Below are 26,887 nucleotides of genomic sequence, written 5' to 3' on the forward strand. Positions count from 1 at the left end.
CCCCTGAGAATGGAGGACTCTGATCCATGACTGTGGCAGATTCTGAATCCCTGGGTATGGAAGACTCTGAGGTCCTGAGTCTGGAGAAATCACAGCTCAGAAGTCTGAAGGACTCCCAAGGCCCTGGCATGGAGGACTCCAAGCCATGCACACGGCTAACCCCGTATCACTTGATTTATGGCATCCTCTCTCTAAACCAATGAGGTCAACTCAAAGACTTAAGAGGACATGAAAGGCAAGAATGCTCTGAAAAACTGACATTCCTAATGGCCTAATAGGTCCTGACAATATCTTAATAGCTCTAATAACACATATATATTTAAAGCATTTCCTCCGATCCGGGAGACCTAGAATTTGATCACCCAGTAGGTAAGGCTCATTTCCTAGCTGACACATGAATGGACATGGTGTTTACAGGCATTTTGACATACTGTGAGCAGAGGGGTCCCCAGAAGATGGAACAAGGCATGATGAGTAGTTGTGATGGGATATCATGGTGACTTTGGAGGTCCTAATATGTTGCGTAGACAAGTAACAGGCTAGTGGGCCTAACTCAGATGGAGGCATCTGTATCAAGGACAAATTTATGTTTATAACTTCATAGTCCCTGGAGGGCTGGCCATGACACTTCCTGGTTTGGCAGAGAAAAAATCTGTGCCCTTGGAACCAGTGGAGATGCCCCTGTGTGCTGAGCAAAGCGACAATTCCATCATACCGAGCTTAGAAGACACCCTGTGTGTGGACTGTGAAACCCCCACCCCAGCTCTGAACAATGCCCAATCACAAGCTCTGGAAAACACACAGTCTACTGTTTTAGAAAGTCTAGAGTTCTAGCCCTGTCTCTGGAAAACACTGTCTGCCTCCCCCCAGGAGAAGCTTCCCAAGAATCCTGGCCCCAGAGGACTCTTGATTTTGAGGAAGACCCAAGGGATGCTTCATTCCTGCCTCTGGAAAACATTTGGTCTCTGACTTTGGAGGGATCCTTCTGACAAATGTAGGAAAAAGCACTTTGTAAAACTAAAAAGCTCTGCCTGGCATGCGGCAGATGCTCAATAAATGTGTGTGGAATGAAGGAGTGGTCCTGGGAGATCTTTGCAAACTGCAATGCACAGCACGATCCTCAGATATTATTCTTACTGTGACTAAATAAAGCCGTTGTCAGGGTATTATGGGAAACTCCATATTTCTCCCTAACGAGATCTTTTTTCTTGTGAGTTCTCACCAGCCCGAGAGCATAGGGCCTGGCTCACAGTGGGCATCAATAAACGTTTGATAGATGAATGGATGCATGGATGGATAAATGAGGGCTGCATGGATGGATGAATCGCTGTGTGGATGATGAGTGAATGGAAGATGGAAGGAGTGGCTGGCACATTTGCCTACTCAACAGCCACCCCCCTCTTCCTCTGCCTTCTTCCTTGCTAAATGAATCCCAATTTTATTCAAGTCTCTTGCAGCTTAGGAGAAGCCTGTGCCCTCTCCACAGGCAATACATCTTGTTGAGTTTAAGGCCATCAGGATGGTCTCTTTTCCCTTGCCAGACAGTTGTTTAGGAATAGTCATAGGATGCAATTCTGGCCCAGGAGATATGAAGGGAAGTCTACTGGGGACCCTCCAGGAATATTTTCCTCATTAGAGGAACACAAACAGGAGACATTCCTTCTTCTGCCTTCAAACACTAATGTGTGAGGATAACATGCATAGAGACGGTGCAGCCATCTTGCAACCATGAGGAGATGAGAGAGAAGACAAACGCCTGACATTCTCAGGACCACACAGCAAACATGCAGAAAGAGGCTGGGTCCTTGAAGCTTGTCATTGAACCACTGAATTAACCAATGTGTGTGGGTGGGCATCTGGATGAATGAATGATGGATAGGAGGATGGGCGGGTGGATGGATGAATGGATGGGTTGGTGGGTAGATGGGTGGATGGGTAGATGAATGGGTGGGTGGATGGATGGGTGGGTGGATGTGTGGTTGGGTGGATGGGTGGATGGATAGGGAATAGATGGGTAGACAGGTGGGTGGGTGGATGGATGGATGGATGGGTAGATGGATAAGTGGATGGATGGGTGAGTGCGTGCATGTGTGGGTGGGTGGATGGGTGGATGGATAGGGAATGGATGGGTGGATGGGTAGGTGGATGGGTGGGTGGATGGATGATGGATGGATGGGTAGATGGATGAGTGGGTGGATGGGTGGATTCTTGAGGGGATTGGATGTGTGGATGGATGGATGAATGGACGAATGGATGATTGGGTGGAGGGATGGATGGATAGATGGATGGATGGATGGATGGATGGATGGATGGATGGATGGATGGATGGCTGGATGGATGGATGGATGGATGGATATTTGTGGGAGATGTGAGGGTAGATGGTTGGGGTGAATACACGGAGATATATATATATATATATATCTCCACATATATAAAATATAAAGGACTAACAATAGTATTATTGTCTTCCTCTGAAGAGCACTCACTCCAAAGCATTCAAGGTCAGAACTGGCTGAGGACAATTGAGCTTTTCCAGTACTTTCCTCCAACCCTCATGCTCCGTCCTACTTCATGTGCCCTGGGCCCACCTGTCAAGGCTGATACCTGCCTTCAGTGCCTGTCATCTGGAAAGTCTTGTGCCCTGCTGACTCTCGTGCAGGGCCTTGCCCTGCCAGAGAAATGTTTGGTCTGTAAAGAAGCTCAGGTAAGACAGCCTGGCACAGTGGACTCAGATGGTCTTGAGTCCAAATCCTTGCCCTGCCTCTCATGAGCTCCCTGTCCATGGGTAGCCCCCTAACCCACCTGAGCAGCCTTCTCATCTATAAAAGGAGAACAGAGTTCCATTAGCGGGTCTGCTATGAAGATCCAAGCACCCAGCACCGTGTGAAGCCCCCAGTATGCCCTCAATAAATGCTGAGTCCTTCTGAGTTCCTTTAGCCAGCTCAGCCACAGTTGGGCAAGCATGGGCTGTGGCCAGGCAGCAGCCTACATACAAATGCAAAGGAGACCTGACCTCTGCCCCCTCCAACCATTCTGCTGCAAAACGCTGTCTCGAGGCATTGTTCCTTGGAGCCAGCCACAGGGCTCGCGGAAGGACTAGAGGAAACTGAGCAAACCTCAATTGCTTCCTCCTTTCTTGTGCCACTGGATATGGCAGGGCGGATCAGCAACTGGGAACCTTAAGAGCTTGCAGGTTGAGAGCTGACAGAGTGGACAGCTGGCTTAGCAGGCTGGCCCTGGGCCAGGCCAGGGTTGCAACCTCACGTCCTGCAGCTTCCAGCGCCCTCTTGGACAGAGACAGATGATTCCAGCTCTCCAAGTCCAATTCTGCCTCTCCTTGGGATATTCCCTAATGCCTGAGATCACCGCCATGTCCTATTACCTCCTCCACTCTTTACCCTCAAGATGTTCATTATCTGTCCTCTTGTTCCTCTCCTTTCCTCAAGCTCACTTGTGGATCTGACTGCTGTACTGCCCACGGCACCTGCTGCACCAAGCCTTCCCTCCCCACAGGCCCCATGCATACGCTGTTTTCCCTGGCTTATTTATTCCTCCCTGCCTTGTCCCTCATCTGTTAAGACTCACCCTAAGTGTCAAGTGTGCCAGGAAAACCTTCTGGGTTCCCACCTGGGTCAGGACCACACACAGGACTCTGAAGCCCTGCATTTACTGCACGTGTCACACTGTCTTTCTGGATCGGTCTCCCCAACTAAACTGAGCATTCCTTGACATAAGAGATCATATCTCATGGATCTCTGCAGCATATAAAATGGTGCCCCATTCATTCTTTCGTTCACTGAATGTGTATTCTGATGCATCCCAGTGGTCCTCTCTTTATTGTGGACATGTGACCGTGCAATGATGGTGACAGTGCCTTTAGCTTATCCTTGGTCCCGCATACTTTTCAAAGCCCTTGAACTCTCTCCTCTCATTAGTATGAAGCTCTCAAACAGATTGATTCTTGGCTCTGAGAATGATTAACTGTCTGTTCTCGGGCAAGTTACTGAACCTCTCATGAGCCTTAGTTTCCTTACGGTCACTCATTGATTCGACAAACATTTATAAAGACTCTACCGGAGGTTCTGTCCCAGGGGATACCAACTACTGGGGATACCAACATGAGTCAAAAATTGTCTTGGCCTTTGCAGAAATCTCAGTTCAGACAAAGACAGCTTTGGACAGTTCAACCCTCAGGACAGTAAAGACCCCACCAAGGGCTGGGGAGTGGGGTATGGAGAGTCATTTGATCCACCCAGAGGGCCCTAGGAAGATTTCCAGTGACACCTTGGTCAAGCCTTGTTTGGAGGATTAAATGGTATCTCATTTGTGATCCACAAAAGGAACTCCACAGCATGTGTGAAAAGTCTCAGCACAGCGTCAAGCACAGGGTGGGTGCACACTGAGTCTCAGCTTTCCACGCCACCCAGGAAGGGGGCATGACAGACTGCAAGCCAGCCCAAGGCCCTATCCTCGCTCCTCAGATGCCCCCACAGGCTGGTCTCTCCTCTCACGGTGGCTGGGATACCTGTTGGAACACAGACCACCTCCGACCCCAGATAGCTCTCATGAGACGCTTCATAATCAAGCTTCACTCTGAGTTTGATAAATAAAGGTAATTGTAGGATAATTAGACTCTATTCTCTTCCAACATCGTAATTGGCATGAGATGCGTGATCCTTTCTTGCACATCATTTTGCCAGGCGTATTTGAAGCTTTCCGTCTTGGCCTCCTCACACAGTGCAGAAAGAGTAATGGCTCAGAAGCCACTGCTGTGAGAGGCCGGAAGCCAGCAGGCAGCCCCTACGTGGCCCCTGACTAATCACTGTAGATGCCTCCTGTCACATGCTGGGAGGGTTCCCAAGTAGATCGTGCCCTTGTCACCACCATCATCAATCACATGGTCATAATGCTCCCCAGAGTGCCTGCGTAAGAGAGAAGCACATGACTTTTGGAATCTGAGGATCCAATTTCAAATCCCAGCTCTGTCACCAACTTGCTGTGTGACCTTGGACAAAGTGCTCACCCTCTCTGAGCCTCAGTTGCCCCAAGTAGGAGTGATTATCCTTAATACAATCAAATAAGACAGCACATATGACAATGCTTCCTAACAGACCAGGCAGATAGCACCTGAGTGCTTCCTACCCCTACTGCCAGCCTCTACCCACATAACTGGCAAAGCAAAACCTGAACAAAGAGGAGGGAAGGACAAACGTGAAGATGAGCATACCCTTCTCCTGGTATATAGGGAGCTTGGAATTACGCACTAGGATCCAGATGCACAAAGGGAAAGCAAATGCAAATGTAGCTTCCTCATACTTCTTACACATGACCTAATCTCACGCTCCAACCTCCATCCCACTGATGGGGCATAAAGGTAGAAGACAGGACTCTTATTTTTTTTTTTTTTTTTTTGAGATGGAGTCTTGCTCTGTCTCCCAGGCTGGAGTGCAGTGACACGATCTCGGCTTACTATAACCTCCACCTCCTGGGTTCCAACGATTCTCCTGCCTCAGGCTCCCGAGTAGCTGGGATTACAGGCATGTGCCACCACACCCGGCTAATATTTTTACTTTTAGTAGAGACAGGGTTTCCATGTTGGGCAAGCTGGTCTCGAACTCCTGACCTCATGATCCACCCGCCTCAGCCTCCCAAATTGCTGTGATTACAGGCATGAGCCACCGCACCTGGCCGAAGAGGGGACTTTTAATTGGCAAGTTCATCACCAGTTAAGCAGGGCTCTGTCCCCTCCAGTTTAATATGGTCTCTCTGGTGTTTACACCATTGCCTTGGGTGAATGCTCAATGTTTCAAGATTTCTCCCCCTTCCCATTTCTCCTCCAAATATGGCAGCCTAAATGTGAGGGTGATCTGGCTGTGACATCTGTCACCCTATTGATCGCAGGGTTGATTCTGCTGATCTGGCTGGCTAGGCGGGTGTCCCCTTCCTCCCTCACCGCCCTTGTGCATTCCTCCGGAAGCTGCACACTCAGTCTAAGAGGACAACCATCCTCGATAGAGGACTGTTCTTCAGTCAAGGGTATATGAGTAGCTGCACTCTTCTTCTGGAACCTTCCAACAAGTTCTCAAGGTCCAAATATGGCAGCCAGGAAAGGGGCAAATGGAGGAACCTGGGAGTCTCCTGGGAGCAGTGGGTGGGGTCTCCTGTCGCTGTGTTACACACCTGGTCCACGGTGGCACCCATTCAAGGCCCCTCTTCCTGCTCCTCTCAGCACTGGCCACAGTGCATCAGCCACGGAATGGGTCTCACCAACCTGGTCCTGAGCCAGCCTCTCCTGCTGTGGCCCAGGAAGCCCCCCTTCCCTCCTGGCCACAAAGTGCCCCGCTCTGCTGGCCTCTTGATCCCAGGCGCATGCTGGAGTTCTGGGCCTCCTGTGCACCCAGCCCAGGTCATGAGGACCCCCCAGTGCTCAGTCAACCTCACGTAACCAGCTCCCTCTTTCTACCCACGTTGTGTTTTCACCCCCACAATCCCGCCTCCTTCCCCACACTGGATAAGTGGTAAGGTGGATGTTCTAGGACTCAGTCTAGTGTTTCTAGTATCTGTGGACTCATCCCCACCAGGGGCTGATGCCCGGGAGGGAGGGCCCTCAGGGCTTTCCTTGGGACCCACACTTGTCCTCACCCTGGCCCCTCTTCACCAGAATCCTTGTCTCCCCCGCTGTGCCCACAGACACTCCTACCCTCTGCTCGCTTATCTTGTCCAGTAGGAATGTCCCTTTCCATCTCCTTCATCGTTTCCACACTCCTCCTGTGATCTCAGACTCTGCCAGGCAGGGCTCTTGATATGCAAAGACGGCTTTGGAGACTTAGAAAGCCTTTCCCCTCTCTCAACAAAGCCTGGCTTTCAAGACCATTATCTGGCTAAAGACTGCAGGATCCTATTCCGTCAAAAGCTGAACATCAATTCTTTCCTTTTGTACTCCTGATCCCCAATCCTATTGCTCTATAAGACCCTGGGTGCCTCTGGCTGAAAAGGAAGAGAGTGGCATAAAAGCAGTTTAGAAACACATAGGTACAGTAAAAATATCTATCATTCCTGTTACACCAGACTCTCTGGATGTCAGCGCACAAAGAGACCTTGGAAAGAACCTCACCCTTCCTCTTCCCCCAGCCACGTTAGAGGCCCAGAGAGGGCAAAGATGGGGCTCAGCCCAGCGGCTGAGCAGGAATGAGAAGACATGGTCCCTGATGCCTGGCCAAAGCCTCTTCCCATGATGCCTCCACTAGGGAAGTGGGTGCAGGCCATTCCTTTGTGAAGCACCCTGCGTCTGAGCACTTTCCAGAACTCTGTGAAGCAGGGATGAAGCCTGTCTTGCTCACCAGTGCACCCCCATCATTGAGCCCAGGGTCTAGAATGCAGTGACAGGGACGTCTCAGCCCGTGTTCCCACTGCTCCTGCATGTTACTTCACTGCTCCATGTTCCGTGCCAGTCATGTCAAAGGTGTTTGAACCAGAGCAACTCCATCTTGAATAGGGACTGGGCAAAACGAGCCTGAGACCTACTGGGCTGCATTCCCAGACAGTTAAGGCATTCTAAGTCACAGGATGAGAGAGGAGGTTGGCACAAGATACAGGTCATAAAGACCTCGCTGATTAAACAGGTTGCAGTAAAGAAGCCGGCTAAAAACCCACCAAAACCAAGACAGTGACGAGAGTGACCTCTGGTCATCATCACTGACTGCTACACTCCCACCAGAGCCATGACAGTTTACAAATGCCATGGCAACATAAGGAAGTTACCCTGCATGGTCTAAAAAGGGGAGACATGAGTAATCCATCCCTCGTTTAGCACATAATCAAGAAATAACCATAAAAATAAGCAACCAGCAGCCCTCCGGGCAGCTCTGCCTATGGAGTAGCCATTCTTTATTCCTTTACTTTCCTAATAAACTTGCTTTCACTTTACTGTAGGGACTTGTCCTGAATTCTTTCTTCCACGAGATCCAAGAACCAGTGTTGGGGTCTGGGTCGGACCTCTTTCCTCTAACAGTCACAGTGAATTCCTCTATCCAGGCATCTCAGAGGCACTCCCTGTCTGCACCTGTGTTCACGGGGCTGGTTGCCACCTGACATGGAATCTTCCTGCCTGCCAGCCCCTTGCTCCACCACCAGGTGCTGTGGGGCGTCTTTACCGACCCTGCTGTCCTCAGCTTCAGTCCACCACGGTCTCTCTGAGCCTCAGTTTCCTCACCTTCTCCATAACGGTTTGACTGGTTGTGGCTTTTAGACATTTTTTAGCAGCAGAAAAACAGAGCTTCTCTTTGATAAGCAAGGAGATGGGGTCCTCCTGTAATGCCTGGAAAATTGAGAGGTAGGCATACACATCTGTGTAATTTGAATCAGTGGTTTTGGCTTCACAGCTCCCCTAAAGCACAGATGCACAGAATTTGAAAATCAACTAGATATTTCCGCAGGGTTCTTGCAACACCAACTTGATTAAAATTTAAGACTCAGACAGTCTAGACACAAATAAGTAAAAACTACATCAGCTACAAGCAACAAAATTAAAAACAAACAAAAAAAACTGAGCTTTAAATCAGAGGGATGTTCTCCCCTAACAAGAAGTCCAGGAGAAGGCAGACCCCGGGCTGGGAGAAGCATACCCCAAAGCCATTGGGCACCCTCCTCGCTCCACTCAGCCGTCTTCCACCTGTGGCTTGTTCCTCAGTTTCACGGCTTCCTCCTCAGATTCGTGGCCTCAGGACCACAAAGTGGCTGCTCTGGGGCCAGCATCTTGCCTGCGTTCTGGGCAGGAGGAAGGGGACTGGCAAGGAGCCAAAAGCCTATAATACCCCTGGGTGGCCTCCAGACTTTCCTGAAGACACACTCAGTGAACCTGCTCAGATTTCATGGGCTAGAATGTGTCATGTGGCATCCCAATAAACCAGGGAGAAGGGGAAAAAAAACAGTTTTGGTCTTTTAGTCTGGGCGCCTTTTGCCACCATGAAGAAAGTCTGGGCTCTGTGAGTAAAAATGAAGAGGGTGGCAAGCAACTGGGTCCACCCCAGGGGGCCTGAGGCCAGCCCCAGCCTGCCATTAACCTGTTGTGTGGTTTGAGGCATGTCCCTTCCCCTCTCTAGCCTCAATTTCCCCATTTCAAAATGGGAGAACTGGGCCAGATGCTATGGGACTTTATTCAGCTTTGACTGGCTGGTGCAAATCCTGACGCTGCTACCTATGAGCTGTGTGACCTGGGGCGGCTATTGGACAAACCTTTGGCTCAGTTTCCTCATCTGTAAAATAGGGGTAATCGTGGAGCTGCCTCATAGGGTTCTGAGGACTGGATGGGCTGTTACTTGTAGGGCGTTCAGCAGAGTCTGACAGGAAGGCACAGACAAAAGCCATCAGTGACGCTGTTATGCTAAGCTCTGAGAGTCCACGAGTCCTGAGTCCTGCTTCTGCGCGCCTCTGTGTGCTGGGTGACCTGAGGCAGGTGCCTTCCCCTCTTGGGGCCCAGCAGGTCTGAGAGTTGCCTTCAGAAGCTGGGCCTGGCTGTGACAAGAGAGTGAGTCCCTTCCTGGGCTGGGAGGGGGAACAGGAGCGGACGGAGTCAGCCGGTTTCCTGCAGCCGGGGCAGTGACCTGGGCAGCAGGGACTTCCTGTTTCCCAGAGGGAATCCGGGCCACTGCATCCAGCCCCTCCCTCCCCTCCCTGCAGCTCCCCTCTGTAATGGAGGAAACTTGTCGCTGGGGCAACCTTCCCTGCGTCATCTCCCGGGGCGGGCGGCCCTGTGTGGGTGAGAGAAGCACCAGCAACAATCGCCCTTTGTCTCCAGCTCAGCTGCTCCCAAAGCGCTTTCTGACCTTGCCCTCGTCTCAGCCCTGAGAGTCTCATGCCCATTTTCCAGATGAGGAAACTGTGGCCCAAGGAGGTGAGGTGACTTGCCCCAGGTCATAGGTCACAAGGCTGGTGAGAAGTAAGGCTGGGATTAAAACCTGAGTCTTCTGAAAACATGGGCCAGCTTCATCTGGGGCCCTCGGCACCCAGTGGACCCTCAGTCAGGGCCCCCGAGACACTGTCAGAGCCTGGAGCTTGACTTTTCAGTGCCCTGATGACCTAGGATGTGATCCTCGGCCACTGTCGCCTCCCCAGCTGGAGCCCTGAGGAAGGAGGCTTGGGGTCTCCTGCAGGACCCCTTTGTCTTTAACATGCACACACCATCCGGCTTCGTGACACTTGTCCCTGGGGACACAGAGACCAGCCAGACCCACTCTGCAAAACCTGGGCACAAACAACTTTAACTCAAGGTGGCCAGTCTGACATGCCACTGGCTAGGAGCAGAGGCTTTGCATCCCCGGGTGCAAATCCTGACCTTGGTACTTGCCGGCTGTGTGCCTTAGGCTAGTGACTTAACCTCTCTGAGCTTCTGTTTCCTCGTCTATGAAATAGAGGTCATGTTAGTTCCCTAGTGCTGCCATAAACAAACTGCCACAAACTTGTTGGCTTAAGACAACAGATATTCAATCTCTCCTAGTTCTGGGGACCAAAAGTCTGAAAACAAGATTTTTGGCAGGGTTGGTTCCTGCCATGATTTTTGGCAGGGTTTGCTCTGGGGGAAAATGATGTGGATGATTCTCTCCTAGCTTCTGGTGGTGGCCAGAGATCCTTGATGTTCCTTGGTTTGTGGCTGCATAACTCCCATCTCTGCCCCCGTCTTTGTCTTCCCTCTGTGTAGGTGTGTATCCAAATGTCCCTCTTCTTATAAGGACATTGGTCAGTGGATTAGAGCCCACTACAATCCACTGTGACTTCGTTTTGACCTGATTACATCTGCAAAGACCCTATTTCCAAATAAGGCCACATTCACAGGTACAGGGGTTAGAATGTGAGCTTGTTTTTCTGGGGGACACAATTAGACCCACAACACTGTTATGGGTTGTGGTGCAGATCTTACAAGTAATTCATCTAAACCACCCAGCCCTGAGTCAAACTCACAGAAAGTCCTCAGACAGTAGATGCTGTTATTCTCACTTTGATTCTCCCACCCCAGCAACCAGCCCCAGCTTTGACTGTCTGCCTGGTGTCCAGCCCCTCCAGGTCTGAAATCCTGACTTGTGCCCCCAACCTCCCAAAGGCTGCACTAATAATAAGAGCCTTTTTTTTTTTTTGAGACAGGGTCTCACTCTGTCACCCAGGTTGGAGTGCAGTGGTGTAACCCCAGCTCACTGCAGCCTCCACGTCCCGGGCTCAAGTGATTCTCCCACCTCAGTCTCCCGAGTAGCTGGGACTATAGGTGCACACCACTATGCCCAGCTAATTTTTGCCTTTTTTGTAGAGACGGGGTTTTGCCATGTTGCCCAAGCTGAAGAGCTCATATCTATTGAGCACTTACTGTATGCCAGGCGCTGTCTAGGCACTAAACAAATATCATCTCATTCTGCCCTGATAACAATCTTGCGAGGTAGCAACTATTCTTACCTTCTTTCACAAAGGAGAAAACAGATTCAGAGAGGTTTAGCGATTTACCTGGGGACACCAGCTAGAAAGCAGCAGCACTACTCAAACCTAGTGGGTCTGGCTTGGAGCTTTTAACTCTATAGCCTTCCTGCCTCTCGAACAGCAGCCCCCAAGCACGGACCACCAACCCACCTCCGTGCCTGCTTCTCCTCTTGCCTGTCGCTGCAACTGTCCCCAAGCACCTTTCTCCGGGGTCCCACCTGACCCCTGTCTCTGATTCTCCCACTGCTGAGCCTGTCCAGGCCCAGGGCTCAGCCGTGCTGCTGGGCTCCAAGGAGAGACTACATTTTTTTTTTTTTTTGAGATGAAGTTTCACTCTTGTTGCCCAGGCTGGAGTGCAATGGCGCAATCTCGGCTCACCGCAACCTCCACCTCCTGGGTTCAAGTGATCCTCCTGCCTCAGCCTCCTGAGTAGCTGGGATTACAGGCATGCGCCACCACACCTGGCTAATTTTGTATTTTTAGTAGAGACGGGGTTTCTCCATGTTGGTCAGGCTGGTCTCAAACTCCCAACCTCAGGTGATCCGCCCGTGCCTCGGCCTCCCAAAGTGCTAGGATTACAGGCATGAGCCACTACACCTGTCCAGGAGAGACTACATTTTAAGTGGCACAGCTGGAGGAGAGGACCCCAGTCCAGGCAGGAAAACAGCACAGGGGTGGAATTTGGAAAGAGTGAGCAGTGGAGCCGCAGGAAGTGGATGCTGGGCAAAGAACGGCAGGAGATAAGATGGGAAGGCAGGTTGGAGCCTGGTTGTGGGGAGCCCTGAAGGCCACACGAAGGTTTCTGATTGGGACCCTGCAGGTGACGGGGCACATGGGAAGGGGATGGGAGCAGGGCAGGGACACGGTCAGGCTAGTATGGAAGAAACCCTCCTCCAGCACCGCAGGCTGGGCGGGGTGGCAGAGAGCACCTGGAGGCAGTCCCCAGAGAGAAAGCTGTCACAGACTTGGCTACAGATGAGGGGCTTGTGGGCTGATGTTTCCCGGATGTAGCTGGGCTGAGGCCCTGCTAGGCCCCTGCAGCCCTGCATGTGTGCAGACCCCCCATGTGCTGTCTCATCACCAGGACAGTCCCCAGCCTGGTGGCCATGTGTGTCCTCATGAGTTAGATGGATGTTCTCATTAGTTAGCAGGTGTAGAGGTGACCTGAGAGCAGGGGCCCCATCTGGCCTCCACGCCATCCTGAGCTGAGTCTCCCCAGAAAAGGACAGATCACTGTAATAGCTAAAATCACATTTACTGAGCAGTGACCATGTGCCTGCTGCTGTTTTAAGCATTCACTGTGGATTAATTTCTTTACTCTGATGACCAACCCTGTGAAGCAGGTGCAATTATTATCCCCATTTTATAGATAAGAAAACTGAGGTTAGGAGAATTGCTAAGGTCACATTTGCTAAGTGCTGGGGCTGGACTTGGAGCACACACCCAGGTCCAGAACAAACTCTGTGCACCTGGGAGGGGCTGAGAGCTGGAGTTGGACAGATTTGGGATGAACAAAAGTCAGTGTAGCTGTGACTCTGAGTGCCGGCCACAAAGGAGAGGTAGCATCTCAACAGGGGCCAGACAACCCCGAGGACGTGGCTCCAACCCCCATGCCTGTCACTACAAAAGCGCCTCTGCTCAGTCTCCCCAACTTAGACATCATCCCCAGGTAGGAGGTCCCCAAATGACTAAGATTATGTTTCTGCTATACTCAATGAAATGAGGGCTCAAAATAGAAATCCAGGTCAGTGATAAAAAAGAAAGTTATATTTCTTATACATCCATTTTGTGACTTCATACCTGATACGCTATCATTGAACCCATTGTACAGATGGGGAAATTGAGACTTAGAATAAGCAGTGAAGATGAGTGTGGATGACCTCCAGGGCCCCAGCGATGAGCTCACACTTCACTTATTCAGTTTGAGTAAACCTAGTATACAGTGGAACAAACTGGGGCTTGATACCTTGACAGTTCCTAGGTTCCAATCCTGTCTCTGTCCCTTGGTCACTGTTGAACAAATTGCCTCTCTGAACCTCAATTTCCATGTCTGTGAGATGGACTAGTAATGCCCTCCTTCATTAATTTGCTCCACATACATTTATTGAGCATCTACTATGTGGCAGGCACTGTACTAGGAACTGGGGATACAGGAATGAATAGACTTTTGGGGGTATGTCAGGATCTACCTGATAAATGATGGGCCACTCCCTCTTCTTTCCCCATCCTGTGGGTGTGCCCCACAGCACCTGCAGGGTATAGTAATATAAATAACTGCCCGGGCATGGTGGTTCACGCCTGTAATCCCAGCACTTTGGGAGGCCAAGGCGGGTGGATCACCTGAGGTCGGGAGTTCGAAACCAGCCTGACCAACATGGAGAAACCCTGTCTCTACTAAAAATACAAAATTAGCTGGGCGTGGTGGCACACGCCTGTAATCCCAGCTACTAGGGAGGCTGAGGCAGGAGAATCGCTTGAACCCGGGAGGCGGAGGTTGCGGTGAGCCGAGATCATGCCATTGCACTCCAGCCTGGGCAACAAGAGCAAAACTCCATCTCAAAAAAAAAAAAGTAATATAAATACCTGTCATGGTGGCTCTAAGATGCCATGGCTAGAAGACTGCAGTGCTCATGGAGTGTTGTCTGAGAAGGGAGACAGCTGGATGAGGCTCCAATACCTCTGTGTTTTCCAGAACCAATGGCCTACAGGGCCAGCCTGCTATCCTGCTGCCAGAGGTGTGGCCTCAGGAGTGGAAATGGAAGTTGCATGGCGAGGCTGGCTCTTAGCCACTGCTTGTACACAGGAAAACATTCTCATGTGAGGAGGGGAAGTCCCGGGAATCCACCCCAGCCAGGCTGCCTGGGACAAGGGCTCCCAGCCTGCCATCTGAATAGTAGCACCATCCAGAGCCAGCCCTGGGCAGGGTTATGGGAGGCAGGGGTGTGTGTGTGCTTGTGCGCGCGTGTGTGTGTTTGTGTGTATCTCTGTGTGGGCCTATTTCTGTGGATCTGTAACTCTGTGGATCTGCGTGTGTTTACGGTTGTATACCTCGATATTACCAAGTCCCAGAGGGGAGGAGTACCCCAGACTGTCCTATACACACAGTCACACTGAGGCAGGAACACATAATTCATATATAAAGACCACACACAGACACACAGACAGACACATATGCATATACTCAAACATCCACGGTCACAGTCACACCACACATCCACAGTCTTCTAGGTGCATAGATTTATAGGTATACACAGACACACACCCGTAAGCACAGACACACACAAACATGCCTTCACACAAGGACATATAGAGAGACACAGGCAGATACCCAAGGGCTGGTGGGACCAAGGCTCAGGGAGGGAGGCCGGAACAGGAGGTGATAACTAAAGGCAGGCAGTACACACACGAGGGCTCCCAGCCTAGGAGGACATAGTTATGCGGGTCCCTCACTGGAGCACAGGGTGAGATGTACCTGGAGAGAGGGCCATAGCAGGAACGTTGGGCCCAGAGGAGGGAGCACCCAGCTCTGTTGGACCGGGGTGAGATCAGGGAGGACTTCCCAGACCCAGTGACAGAGTGTGCTTTAGAAAAGAGCCTAGGCCGGGTGTGGTGGCTCGTGCCTATAATCTCAACACTTTGGGAGGCCATGGCAAGAGGATAACTTGAGCCCAAGAGTTGGAGACCAGCCTGGGCTACACAACAAGACCCTGACTCTACCAAAAAAAAAAGTTCTTTAATTAGCCAGGCATAATGGTGCACGCCTGTGGTCCCAGCTACTCTAAAGGCTGAGGCCAGAGGATCATGTGTGCCCAGGAGTTCAAGAACAGAAGAGAAGGAAACCAACAGAGTAGAGAGGGTAAGAGTCCCAGCTGATCCAGGTGCTCCTGAGCCGATACCATCCCATGCCTGCCAGGGGTGAAGCCGGTGCAGCCCATTTTTCATGTATTCTGGTTGGGTTTCTGGTACCGAAACTAGAAGAGACCTGACTAGCACAGTCCCCTTCTTCATTATTTCTCCCATCTGTCCTTGCCCCATCACCATCGCCTACACAGCCCCCTCCCCACCATAGGCTCTGTTCCACCTACCTCTCCCTCCTCCCCAAATCCATCCTCCAGAGCCCCTGCCTTCCGCCTTCAGTCCTGCATGACCAACCCTCCCCAGAAGGGGCTGTCCTGGGCTCTACTGGCAGCTGAAGGTCAGATTTCACAAGAGGGGCCTCTGGGTTGTATTCAAGGCTGGAAGCTCTGGAAGTAATGGGAAGAGAGAGTGGCTGCAGGCAGCCCACAAGGCTTGGCTTCAGGCCTGGGTAGAGAACCTAGCCTTCTCTCTGTTAGCAGGCACCAATAGAGCTGGCCTGCCCTGGGTCAGGCTTGGGTACCTCTGCCCCATTTGAAAGCATCAACCCCTTCTCTAGTCTCTCGGCCTCCAGTCTCTCTCCCCTCCAACCCATCGTGCATTCTGTGGCCAGAGAGAGCTTCCAAAAACGCAAATCTGACAATGTCACTGCCCTCCCCACAGAACTCTGACAGCTCCCTGTGCCCTAGGAGATAATAGCCTTTAGTCTGGTTATTAGCTAGGATATAGGTTGAGCTTCTAAAGCAGAGACCCAAAATAACTCTGGCTTAAAGAAGAGAGAAGTTTCTTTATCCCTCATATAATAATTTACATATCAACCATTAAAGGCTGGTGCTCCTTGGCATAGGGGACCCAAGTTCCTTCTGTCTTGTTAAGCTGTTGTCATTCCGTGTTGCCCTCATTCACATGTTCAAGATGGGACCACCTGCACCTTCCGCCAATGGTAGGGGAAAAGGGACGGGGCAGGCACACCACTATCAAAGGGAAACAGCCTACACTTCTGCTCGCATCCTATTGGCCACGTTAGTCACATGGCCCCACCTGGCTGCAAAGCACGCTGGGAAACGTAGTCTTTCTTCCAAGCTTCCATGTGTTATGGATATGAAAGGAAAAACAGATATCATTGCAAAGCCAGCAGTCTCTGCCACATCCTGGCATTTGGGGTTCTTCATATCTTTGCACATGCTGTGCACCACTGCCCACCTCCCTCTTTCTACCTCCTGAGTGCCTGTTCATTTGTAAAGACTCAGCTCAGGCCGGGCAAGGTGGCTCACACCTGTAATCCCAGCACTTTGGGAGACTGAGGCGGGTTGATCACTTGAGGTCAGGAGTTCGAGACCAGCCTGGCCAACATGATGAAACCCCATCTCTACTAAAAATACAAAAATTAGCTGGGCGTGGTGTGCGTGCTTGTAATCCCAGCTACTCAGGAGGCTGAGGCACAAGAATCGCTTGAACCTTGGAGGCGGAGGCTGTAGTGAGCCGAGATCACACCACTGCACTTCAGCCTGGGCGACAGAACGAGACTCTGTCTCAAAAAAAAAAAGACTCAGCTCAAATGGCCCCTATTCTGGGAAGCCTTTCTTGACTACCACCTCCCCAGCCTGGAGGAAGAGTCTTCATGTTCATTGATGACATGGTGTCATGTGTAAGGAAGGATTCATCTCCCCCCCTAGATTGGAAACAACGTCAGGACAGAGACTGCAACTGATTCAATTCTGAGTCCCCCTGACCAACACCAAGACTGAAATGGATGGGCATTTGGAAATACAGAATGAATGAATGAAAAAATGAGTGAGTAAATGAACTATTTGAATGAGAAAATATTAACTGAGAAGTGATGATTGATTGAGTGAATGATTGTTGGCCCAAGGAGACACCTGAGCATTGATGGTGCACTGATTAGACAGGCAGGACTTCCCTGGGGGTCTTATCTCCTCATAGGCAGGTACTTCTGCCGGAAATGCTCTTCCCTTTGGTGACTGTCTAGCTCCTGCTCAACCCTTACATCTCATCTTAAATTCACCTTCTGAGAGAGGGCTTCCTTGCCTCACTCCTCCCTCACTCCAACCGCACTCTTCCCTCCTGCACAGTCCACAGACCACCGTCCTTCCACTGAAGCACTCAGAAAAACTGACACTAAGTATATGCCATGTACTAGTTTGTCCATGAGACTAGGAGCTCCATGAGGACAGGGTCAGGTCTGTCTCTCCCACTGTTGTGTCCCCAGCCTGGCACAGTGCTGGACAGAGTAGCTGTCCACTAAAAGTTAAATGAGAACCCAACTTCTTAGAGTGCATCTAAAAGGATTGACATTTGGCCCCAAGAAGGGCCAGGATAATGTTTGTGGCATAAATGTGTAGGTGGCAGCCTCAGCTCTGCCTGGCGGGTGGCACTAGGAGTCTGTGCCCAGAGGTGGCCTGGCTGAGGGACCTGTGGGGACAAGAGACAAGCAGAAAAACTGCCCACAAGCATCTGATCACAGAGCCGTGGGTACGGTTGGCTATATAGAGAATAACCAAGGGTTGGGAGCCACACTTTCACCTTGACTGCTGGAGAGAGAGGGGCTTGCTGGAAAGTGGGAGACATTGTGATGCAGATGGCAAGTTACTTAACTGCTGTGTGCCTCCGTTTCCTCATGCAGAGGGAGTTAACAAGAGCACCTTCCTCATGGCATTGTCGTGAAGACTAAAAGATTAACCCATGTAAAGTGCCAGGGCTTGGTTCACTGTCAATGTTTGCAGATCACATGAAGGGGCAATAAAAATATCTGTGCTCCCAGGTCAGACAGAGCCCTTGCTGAGCCTCAGTTTTCTCACCTGTAAAGTGGGACCACCAATATTTAACCCCAGGGGCTTGGAAAGATGCAGTGAGACAAGGCTGTAAGGGGATTGGCACTGTGCCTGGCACCAGGGAATCCTCAACCCTTCCCCTGAGACAGAGAGAAGAGTGGTGGGTGTAGAGAATGCCTGCCTGCCTCGCCTGCCATAGGCACGAGCCTGGTGAAGTGGGGAGGCCCCCTGGTGACTAATCTCGTTAATAGTAATCATCACCCTGGTTCTCATTAATATAATAACACTGGGCTCCCAGCCGCCGCCTGGCTCCAGCGCTGGCTCCTCGGTGCCTCTCATCTCTGCCTGGCGGGGGGCTCTGCAAACACTCATTACACTCCAGTCCCTGGGGAGGCCGCCAGGAGAAGCAGCTATTCCAGGCACACAGCTCAACTCTGGGCCGCAGGCTCTGTTTTTAATAAGCACCATCGTACACACTCGAGCACACACACACACTCACATGCACACACAGGTGCTCACACACACAATTGTGCAGCACTTTGCAAGCTCTTCACTGACCATTAATTATAATTGCTCACAATGACTAAGCCTTATGTGATAACAATGATCGTGGATGCCTGCTAAACACTTCCACTTGCCAGGAACAGTTCTAAGTGCTCGCTCCACTTGTATTAACCCATCTCATCTAAATGAGCATTCCTGTTGTTTCCATTTTGCAGCTTCGGAAACTGAAGTACCCGAAGGTTATGAGACTTACCCCAAATCACCGACCCGTGGAGCCACAGAGCTAGGATCCGAATGTTTAACACTGTCTCAAAAGATATTAGTTCCTCAAGTCAATCCTCATGGTGATTCCGTCCTTATTCTCCCCATTGCACCAGTGAAGATGTGGGCCCAGAGAAATGATGTCCTTTACCCAGGAACACACAGTCAGGGAGGCCTGACCAGAGTGGCGGCCTTACCACTCCCCAGTGGTGGAAGTAGGAAGGGAAATACTATTTCCCTTTTAAAATGGGAGAAACTGAGCCCCAGAGAGGTTACACAGGGATTGGTGGAGCCCTGGCCCCCTCTTCTTGCCTCCCACCCTCACCCCCACCTCTCATCCTCCCACCCTTACCCCCACCTTGGAGACCTTAATTAAGACACAGACCAGCTGGCTTGGCCATGGGGGACTCAGTGTCAGAGGCCCTCAGGCCACCTGGGGCTCCCTCCAGGCCACTGATGTTCTGTGCCACCACCTCCTAGCTGCATGTCCCTGGACAAGTCACATCACCTCTCTGGGCCTGGTTTTCCTCAAAATGGGGAAAAAAGCTGACACTTAGGGAGCATTTACAATGTTCCAGGCCTATTCTATGTACATTCCACATAGTATCTCTCTTTTTTTCATCTTTTTGAGACAGAGTCTCACTCTGTCACCAGGCTGGAGTGCAGTGGCGCAATCTCGGCTCACTGCAACCTCCGCCTCCCGGGTTCAAGCGCTTCTCCTGCCTCAGCCTCCCTAGTAGCTCAGAGTACAGGTGGGCGCCACCATGCCCAGCTAATTTTTTGTATTTTTAGTAGAGACAGGGTTTCACCATTTTGGCCACTATGGTCTCGATCTCTTGACCTCAGGATCCAACCACCTTGGCCTCCCAAAGTGCTGAGATTACAGGCGTGAGCCACTGCACCCACCTTCCATGTAGTATTTCATTTTGTTCTCACCACAACCCCAGAAGGAAGATATTAAAAGAGTCTGTGGTTTTTTAAGATTCTGTTATTCTATAGAATAGAATTCTGATTCCCACAGAGTCTGTTATGAAAGATTCCACGATCTTAGAAAGATTCCATTATTCTGGGATTCTCAGGTACTGGAAGTTTCCATCATTTTATAGATCATGGTGTTAAAGAATTTAATGAAATGGTGATTCGTTGCACCTCAAGGGCAAGAGGCAATTTGTCAGCCCTTGGACAGCCTTAAAGGCCACCACTGTCCACCCCCTGCCCCTGTCCCCTCCCTCAGCTATGATATCAGAGCCAGCCAAGGCAGAACAACCTGTCTCTATGGCACGGCCTTGAGTGTAAGGTCAGTGAGGACTGTGGAGACCGCCAGAGCGCTTGGTGGGTGACTCGGCGGACAAAGGGCTCTGTGCACCCGCCTCTGCTGTCCTGGCTGGGCCTCACACACAATGGAAGGACCTTTCGAAGCTGCACCCAGCCTGCCCCCTCCCTCAGCAAGAGACACCCAGAGATGCAGCTGAGCTCAGTCTCAGAGCAGGCCCCCTCCCTGCTCAAAAGGTCCACAGAGAGGAGGTGGGAAGGACAGGTCACAGAAAGGGAAGAGTGTCCCCACTCTTTCTTAGCTACCAATGGTTCCCACCTCTCTACCTTTGCCCATGCTGTTCACCCTGCCTGGCATTCCCCTCTCCCTCTACAAATCCTTCAAGAGCCCCCTCAAGTCCTACTTCCTCCAACAAGGCCTGCCCAGTTATTCTACCCCACCCCCACCCCATTTCCTCTTTCTCCAAAGTCCTGTTGGGTGGTTTTGGGGGCTCACATGGGGCTCAGAGACTCCCGTCTCTCCTTTCCTGTCTGTCCTCCCTGCTACCACCAGAGTGATCTTCCTGGAACACAAATGTGGACTTGTCACGCTCTTTCTACAGATGCAGACTCAGAAGTGTGGTATGCAAAACTTCCCAACTCAGGCCCCATTCTTTGTGTCTGGCTTCAATTTCTGCCTCAAATCCATGCGCTAAAGCTTGGCCAGATGAAGTGGGGATCTGCCCTCCAGACACATGGTCACGTGGGCAGCCCTTCTGAGACTGGAACAGCTGAGACCCTGCCTTGATCGCAAGACACAGGCACTGAGGGTCTCCTTCCCCACCCAACTTCACACACACACACACACACACACACACACACACACACACACTCTTAGGCCGCCACCAGGGAGCCCACTGGGCTTGCAATGGTGTGTGTTAGTACCATGGACAGTGCTGGGAGAGGGCAGGCTCTGAAGGCTGTGAAATCCACTGACTCAGGGGCATGCATGTGTTTCATACAGCAGGCATTTGTTGAGCACCAGCTGCATGCCCCACCCCTGCTGGGTGTTATGGAAAATTCCAGAGGAAAAGACATGTCACTGCCCCCAGGGGCCTTAACAGCCTGGCTGGGGAACAGATAGCCCTGCCACCAACCTCCCACCTACCTCCCTGCAGACTGCCACAGCCATTTGTACAAACCACAAATTTGACCATATCTCTCCCCCCTTTTTTTCTCTTGAGATGGAGTCTTAATACATCACCCAGGCTGGAGTGCAGTGGCATGATCTCGGCTCACTGCAACCTCCGTCTCCTGGGTTCAAGTGATTCTCCTACCTCAGCCTTCCCCCCAAGTAGCTGGGATTATATGTACACGCCACCACGCCCAGCTAATTTTTGTATTTTTTGGTAGAAACAGGGTTTCACCTTGTTGGCCCGGCTGATCTCAAACTCGTGACTGCAGGTGATCCACCGCTTCGGCCTCCCAAACTGCTGGGATTACAGGCATGAGCCACCGCTCCTGGCCCCATATCTCTCTCTCAAAAGCTCCATGGGACACACACACACACACACACACACACACACACACACACTCATACACACACACATACATGCACATCAATTGCTTATAAGATGATAAACTCCAAACCATTAAGCATGTTAGTCAAGGCCCTTTCTGACCCAGCAGGCCCAGCCACCCTCCTGCCCTCACCACCATCCCCACCCTCATGAGCCCAATACTCCAGCCCTACTTGACTTCCTTCATTCCCCAGACATGCAAGGGCGCTTTTCTCATTTTTGTCCCCTAATCTAGAGAGTATTTGCCCTTCTTCTTTTTCACAGAGAACTCCCACATAGACTTCAAAACTCAAACCAAATATTTCCTCCTCCAGGAAGCCGCAAAGTTAGTTGTTCCCTCCTCTGCATGCCAAGAGGCCTTGTACCTGTCTCTATGTCACTTGGCATATTGAATTCTGAATTACCATGCATCCCTCATGTCAAACAGAAGTTAGCTATATTTGTCTAGGCCTCTTAGGAAAGGCGTGGTGGTTGCCAGAAGTGGAGGGGCTTTCTAAGAACTGTAACTCATTAATCACTATGTCAGTAATAGTTGTATTTGACAACTTCAGATTTTCTGGAAGCCTAAAAATAATGTCAAAGCTGTGCTTTGTATGCTACTTTTTAACTCTAGAAGCCTGTCTGTCTTATCTTTGAGAAGAGAGAGCATTATTTATTGTGTCGACCATATGCCCAATAATTGTTAGAATATGATTAAATAAAACATAGCCTCTAGCAGATCAATGCAGACATCAGATCCAGCCCTCCCCCTTCAACGTTATCAATGTTCTCAGGTATCTGACTCCACATCTGTGTTCCCCATGCCAGGCTGTGAGTTCCCTGAGGGCCAGGACTGTGTGTCTTTTATTTCCCTGGCACCTAGCATGGTGTCTGGCATACCGTAGGTATCCATCAGTATTGGGAGACTAACAAACTAGAAAGAATCACATGGGCTCCGGGGTCAGATTGCCTGGATTCAAATCCTCATTCTGCCACGTACTGGCTCTATAAGTTTATACACAGTTTTAACCTTTCAAAGGGGCCTCTATTTTCTCACCTGTAAAATGCACATATTACTAGTATGTGCCTCATGGAGTTACGGTGATCTCTATGACACTGCGTAAAAAGGACCAGGCATACAGCCTGCCCGCTAGTAAATACCTCATAAAAGGTCATTGTTACGGTCACTTGTGTTGGGTTGAATTGTGCGGTTTAGGCTTAAGCACAACAGGAATTCAGAGAAAAGAGACGGCACCTTCACCAATAATCCAAGATGACTTCGATCATCCAGGTCAGTATTTACTGAGTACTTTCTATGTACCTTGAATTAATGATGAAACCTCATGGCAATTCTATGAGGTGGGTACTATGATTATCCCCATTCTATTTCCAGAAGCAGCCAGGTAAAAGGGGTCAAAAAACTTGCCTGGGATCACCTAGCCAGTAAGCAGAAGAGTCAGGAGTCAAACCAGGGCAATTTGGCTCCGGAGTGGAGCTCTTCACTTGCATGCCACAGAGCCAACCTCAAGGAAGCTGGAGGCTCAGCTGGACTTTGCAGGACAAGCCACAAGACAGAGGCACCTCTGCTGGGAAGAAGGACCAAGGACTTCCCGTCATGCACTTCCCATGATCCAACTCAGGGTTTCTCCGGAAGGCCTGCATCCTTCTCTATTCTCTCACCCCTGCGTTTCCCACCCTGCCAGCCTCCCTCACCCCCTTCTTTCCCTTCTTCTTCCTGTTGTCCAGGTCTAAGAGTTCATCCTGGCCAATGACTGGGAGCTCCCAGAGCAGGTGATGTTGGAGTAGGGGTTTGAAGGATCCGTAGGAATTTGCCAGGAGAAAGTGGAGGAGAGGTCAAGGTTGACTGTACAGTTGTCTCCCTACATTCTCGGCATTCTGGGAGTCTCCATGCTTCAGTTTCCTCATCTGTAAACATGAGAGTAATGAGTACCTACTGCTTCTCAGGGTTTTAGTAAAGATTAAATAAGCTACTACATGTACAATAATTTTATTTAATAAACACTCCTGTAGTGCTTACCACATGCCAGGCACTGTTCTAAAGGCCTCACACTATTAAAAAGTGCTTAGAGCATGCCTGGCACACGGTAAGTCCAACACATGTGTCTTCTGCTGTTATTATTACAGTCATGCTCCACATAACAATGTTTCAGTCAACCACAGATCACATATACAGAGGTGATCTCATAAGATTATAAGGGAGCTGAAAAACTCCTGCCACCTGGTAACAGCATACACTGGTGTGAACAAACCTACTGCACAGACCATTGTATAAAAGTCTAGCACAGGGCTGGGTGTGGTGGCTCATGCCTGTAATCCCAGCACTTTGGGAGGCCGAGGAGGGCAGATCATTTGAGGCCAGGAGTTCAAGACCAGCCTGGCCAACATGGTGAAACCCCATCTCTACTAAAAATACAAAATTAGCCAGGTGTGGTGGCGTGTGCCTGTAATCCCAGCTACTTGAGAGGCTGAGGCAGAAGAATTGCTTGAACCCAGGAGGCGAAGGTTGCAGTGAGCTGAGATCATGCCACTGCACTCCAGCCTGGGCAATTGAGTGAGACTCCGTCCCAAAAAAAAAAAAAAAAAGTCTAGTACATATGATTATGTACAGCACATAATACTTGATAATGATAATAAATGACTATGTTACTGGCTTATTTACTATATTATACTTTTTATCACTATTTCAGAGTGTACTCCTTCTACTTATTAAAAAAGTTAACCGTAAGACAGCCTCAGGCAGGTTCTTCAGGAGGTATCCAGAAGAAGGCACTGTTACCACAGGAGATGACAGCTCCGTGCATGCTATTGCCCCTGAAGACCTTCCAGTGGGACAAGATCTGGAGGTAGAAGACAGTGATACTGACGAACCTGACACCGTGGAGGCCTAGGCTAATGTGCGTGGTTGTGTCTTAGTTTGTAACAAAAGAAGTTTAAAAAGCAAAAATACAAATTAAAAAATAGCTAGAATAAGGACATAAAATGTTTTGTAGAGCTATGCAATTTTTTTTTTTTTTTGAGATGGATTCTCACTCTGTCGCCCAGGCTGGATTGCAGTGGTACGATCTTGGCTCACTGCAACCTCCACGTCCCGGGTTCCAGCGATTCTCTTGCCTCAATGTTTTACTTCAATAATACAGGTGCGCACCAACACGCCTGGCTAATTTTTGTATTTTTAGTAGAGATGGTAGAGTAGAGTAGTAGCCATGTTGCTCAGGCTGGTCTCGAACTCCTGACCTCAGGTGATCTGCCCATCTCGGCCTCCCACAGTACTGGGATTACAGGCCCGAGGCAACACACCCGGCCTGCAATGTGCTTTAAGCTACGTGTTATTACATGAGTCAAAAAGGTAGTTTGGGTTTTTGTTTTGTTTTGTTCTTTGTTGTTTTTTTTTTGAGAGAGAGTCTCACTCTGTCGCCCAGGTTGGAGTGCAGTGGCACGATCTCGGCTCACTGCAAGCTCTGCCTCCCGGGTTCACGCCATTCTCCTGCCTCAGCCTCCCGAGTAGCTGGGACTACAGGCACCTGCCACCATGCCTGGCTAATTTTTTGTATTTTTAGTAGAGACAGGGTTTCACCGTGTTAGCCAGTATGGTCTCAATCTCCTGACCTCGTGATCCGCCCACCTCGGCCTCCAAAAGTGCTGGGATTACCGGTGTGAGCCACTGCACCCGGCCAATTTTTGTATTTTTAGTAGAGACGGGGTTTCACAGTGTTAGCCAGGATGGTCTCAATCTCCTGACCTCAGGATCCACCCGCCTCAGCCTCCCAAAGTGCTGGGATTACAGGTGTGAGCCACTGCACCTGGCCTAAAAAGTTTTTAAAAATTAAAAAGTTTATAAAACTTTGAAAAAGTTATAGTAAGCTAATTATTATTGAAGAAAAACATTGTATAAATGTAATGTATGCAGTGTGCACTGACAGTCCTGCTAGCTCCAACCATGGCAAATGCCATATACACATGCATCATTTTTTAATCTTTTATAGAATATTTTATTGTTCCTTTTATTTATTTATTTTTAGAGACAGGGTCCCACTTTGTCACCCAGGCTGGAGTGCAGTGGTGTAATCATGGCTCACTGCAGCCTCAACCTCCTAGGCTCAAAAGTAATTTTCCTGCCTCAGCCTCCTGAGTTGCTGGGACTACAGAAATATACCACCACACACAGCTAATTTTTCTTTATTTTATTTTTATATATAGAGAGGCTCACTATATTGCCCAGGCTGGTCTCAAACTCCTGGTCTCAAGCAATTCTCCCACCTCAGCCTCCCAAAGTGCTGGGATTATAGGCATGAGCCCCTGCGCCCAGCCTCTTGCATTTTTTCTAGGTTTGGATATGTTTAGATACATAAATACTTGCCATTGTGTTACAGTTGCCACAGTGTTCAGTAGAGTAGCATGCTGTGCAGCTTTGTAACCTAGGAGCAATGGGCTGTACCGTATAGCCTGGGTGTGCAGCAGGCTGTCCCACCTTGGTTTGTGTAAGGACACTCTATGATGTTCACGAGGTGAAATCGTCTAACAACATGTTCCTCAGAACACATCCCCGTCATTAGGTGACGCATGTCTGTACTGCAGTATCTTTGGTATCTTCATTTTTAGTGCTGTGCACCTGCTGTGTGTCATTGTGCTGGACACTTAGGTCTGCCCACTTTTTGGGTCCTCACAAATCTCTGCAGCGATCATCACTGTGCAAATGACACAGAAGAGGAAGCCAAGGCTTGGGGGGTGGGGAGGAGGTGAAGGGGCTTCCCCAGGATGACCTAAGAAGAACTAGCTGTGGCTAACTGTGAATGACACCTGTATGCCCCCAAACCCATGCCCTTTCCTTACAGCATGCCGGTAAGACTATTTCAATATTTCCAGCAAGACAAGATAAAGGTCTAGACTTGGCCAGAGCCTTGAAAATGGGCAGGGGTGGGCAGTGAGGGTAGGGGATGGTGATGAACAAACCTAATGTCCTCCAAGGTGGGAGGAGTAATCCCCAGCCAGCCCATCTCCCAGGACTGATGTGAATGGCAAGCAAGACCAAGGACTTCCTGAACAGTGCTTCATGAGCTGAAACACATGGCTCACTTGGGAAGGGCTGCTTTTGCTACTTTCTCTGGCAATGGACAAACACCTCTGGAGGAGGGAAATAGCTAAAGCCACGCGTCAGTCATGACAATTTCATGCAAATTATTTCAA

The 26,887-nt window shown here is 50.1% G+C and overlaps 1 long non-coding RNA gene and 1 pseudogene across 1 annotated transcript, besides 6 other annotated features; both read left to right on the plus strand.

Moving 5' to 3' along the window:
- RN7SKP91 (RN7SK pseudogene 91) lies at nt 5,855–6,092 on the plus strand (annotated as a pseudogene).
- Nucleotides 6,338–6,857: an enhancer, noted in NCBI's record as "OCT4-NANOG-H3K27ac-H3K4me1 hESC enhancer chr1:31317155-31317674 (GRCh37/hg19 assembly coordinates)". NCBI's record gives its function as "activates a minimal SCP1, AML or CMV promoter by ChIP-STARR-seq in naive H9 embryonic stem cells {active_cell/tissue: H9 hESC(naive)}" and the evidence as "EXISTENCE:reporter gene assay evidence [ECO:0000049][PMID:30033119]".
- Nucleotides 7,912–8,206: a silencer, noted in NCBI's record as "tiled region #1191; K562 Repressive non-DNase unmatched - State 20:ReprD". NCBI's record gives its function as "represses a minimal TATA promoter and a strong SV40 promoter by Sharpr-MPRA in K562 cells {active_cell/tissue: K562}" and the evidence as "EXISTENCE:reporter gene assay evidence [ECO:0000049][PMID:27701403]".
- Nucleotides 9,469–10,272: an enhancer, noted in NCBI's record as "H3K27ac-H3K4me1 hESC enhancer chr1:31320286-31321089 (GRCh37/hg19 assembly coordinates)". NCBI's record gives its function as "activates a minimal SCP1, AML or CMV promoter by ChIP-STARR-seq in naive H9 embryonic stem cells {active_cell/tissue: H9 hESC(naive)}" and the evidence as "EXISTENCE:reporter gene assay evidence [ECO:0000049][PMID:30033119]".
- Nucleotides 11,803–12,303: an enhancer, noted in NCBI's record as "H3K4me1 hESC enhancer chr1:31322620-31323120 (GRCh37/hg19 assembly coordinates)". NCBI's record gives its function as "activates a minimal SCP1, AML or CMV promoter by ChIP-STARR-seq in naive H9 embryonic stem cells {active_cell/tissue: H9 hESC(naive)}" and the evidence as "EXISTENCE:reporter gene assay evidence [ECO:0000049][PMID:30033119]".
- Nucleotides 12,304–12,804: an enhancer, noted in NCBI's record as "H3K4me1 hESC enhancer chr1:31323121-31323621 (GRCh37/hg19 assembly coordinates)". NCBI's record gives its function as "activates a minimal SCP1, AML or CMV promoter by ChIP-STARR-seq in naive H9 embryonic stem cells {active_cell/tissue: H9 hESC(naive)}" and the evidence as "EXISTENCE:reporter gene assay evidence [ECO:0000049][PMID:30033119]".
- Nucleotides 18,332–18,626: a silencer, noted in NCBI's record as "tiled region #1173; HepG2 Repressive non-DNase unmatched - State 21:Repr, and K562 Repressive non-DNase unmatched - State 7:EnhWF". NCBI's record gives its function as "represses a minimal TATA promoter and a strong SV40 promoter by Sharpr-MPRA in HepG2 and K562 cells {active_cell/tissue: HepG2 | K562}" and the evidence as "EXISTENCE:reporter gene assay evidence [ECO:0000049][PMID:27701403]".
- LOC400748 (uncharacterized) lies at nt 20,210–22,284 on the plus strand. Its single transcript, NR_188385.1, has 2 exons — nt 20,210–20,396; nt 20,747–22,284. It is a non-coding gene; the product is annotated as an uncharacterized LOC400748 (long non-coding RNA).
- The last annotated feature ends 4,603 nt before the right edge of the window (nt 22,285–26,887 follow it).

This window comes from Homo sapiens, chromosome 1, assembly GCF_000001405.40.
Source record: "Homo sapiens chromosome 1, GRCh38.p14 Primary Assembly".
Classification (NCBI taxonomy): Eukaryota; Metazoa; Chordata; class Mammalia; order Primates; family Hominidae; genus Homo; species Homo sapiens.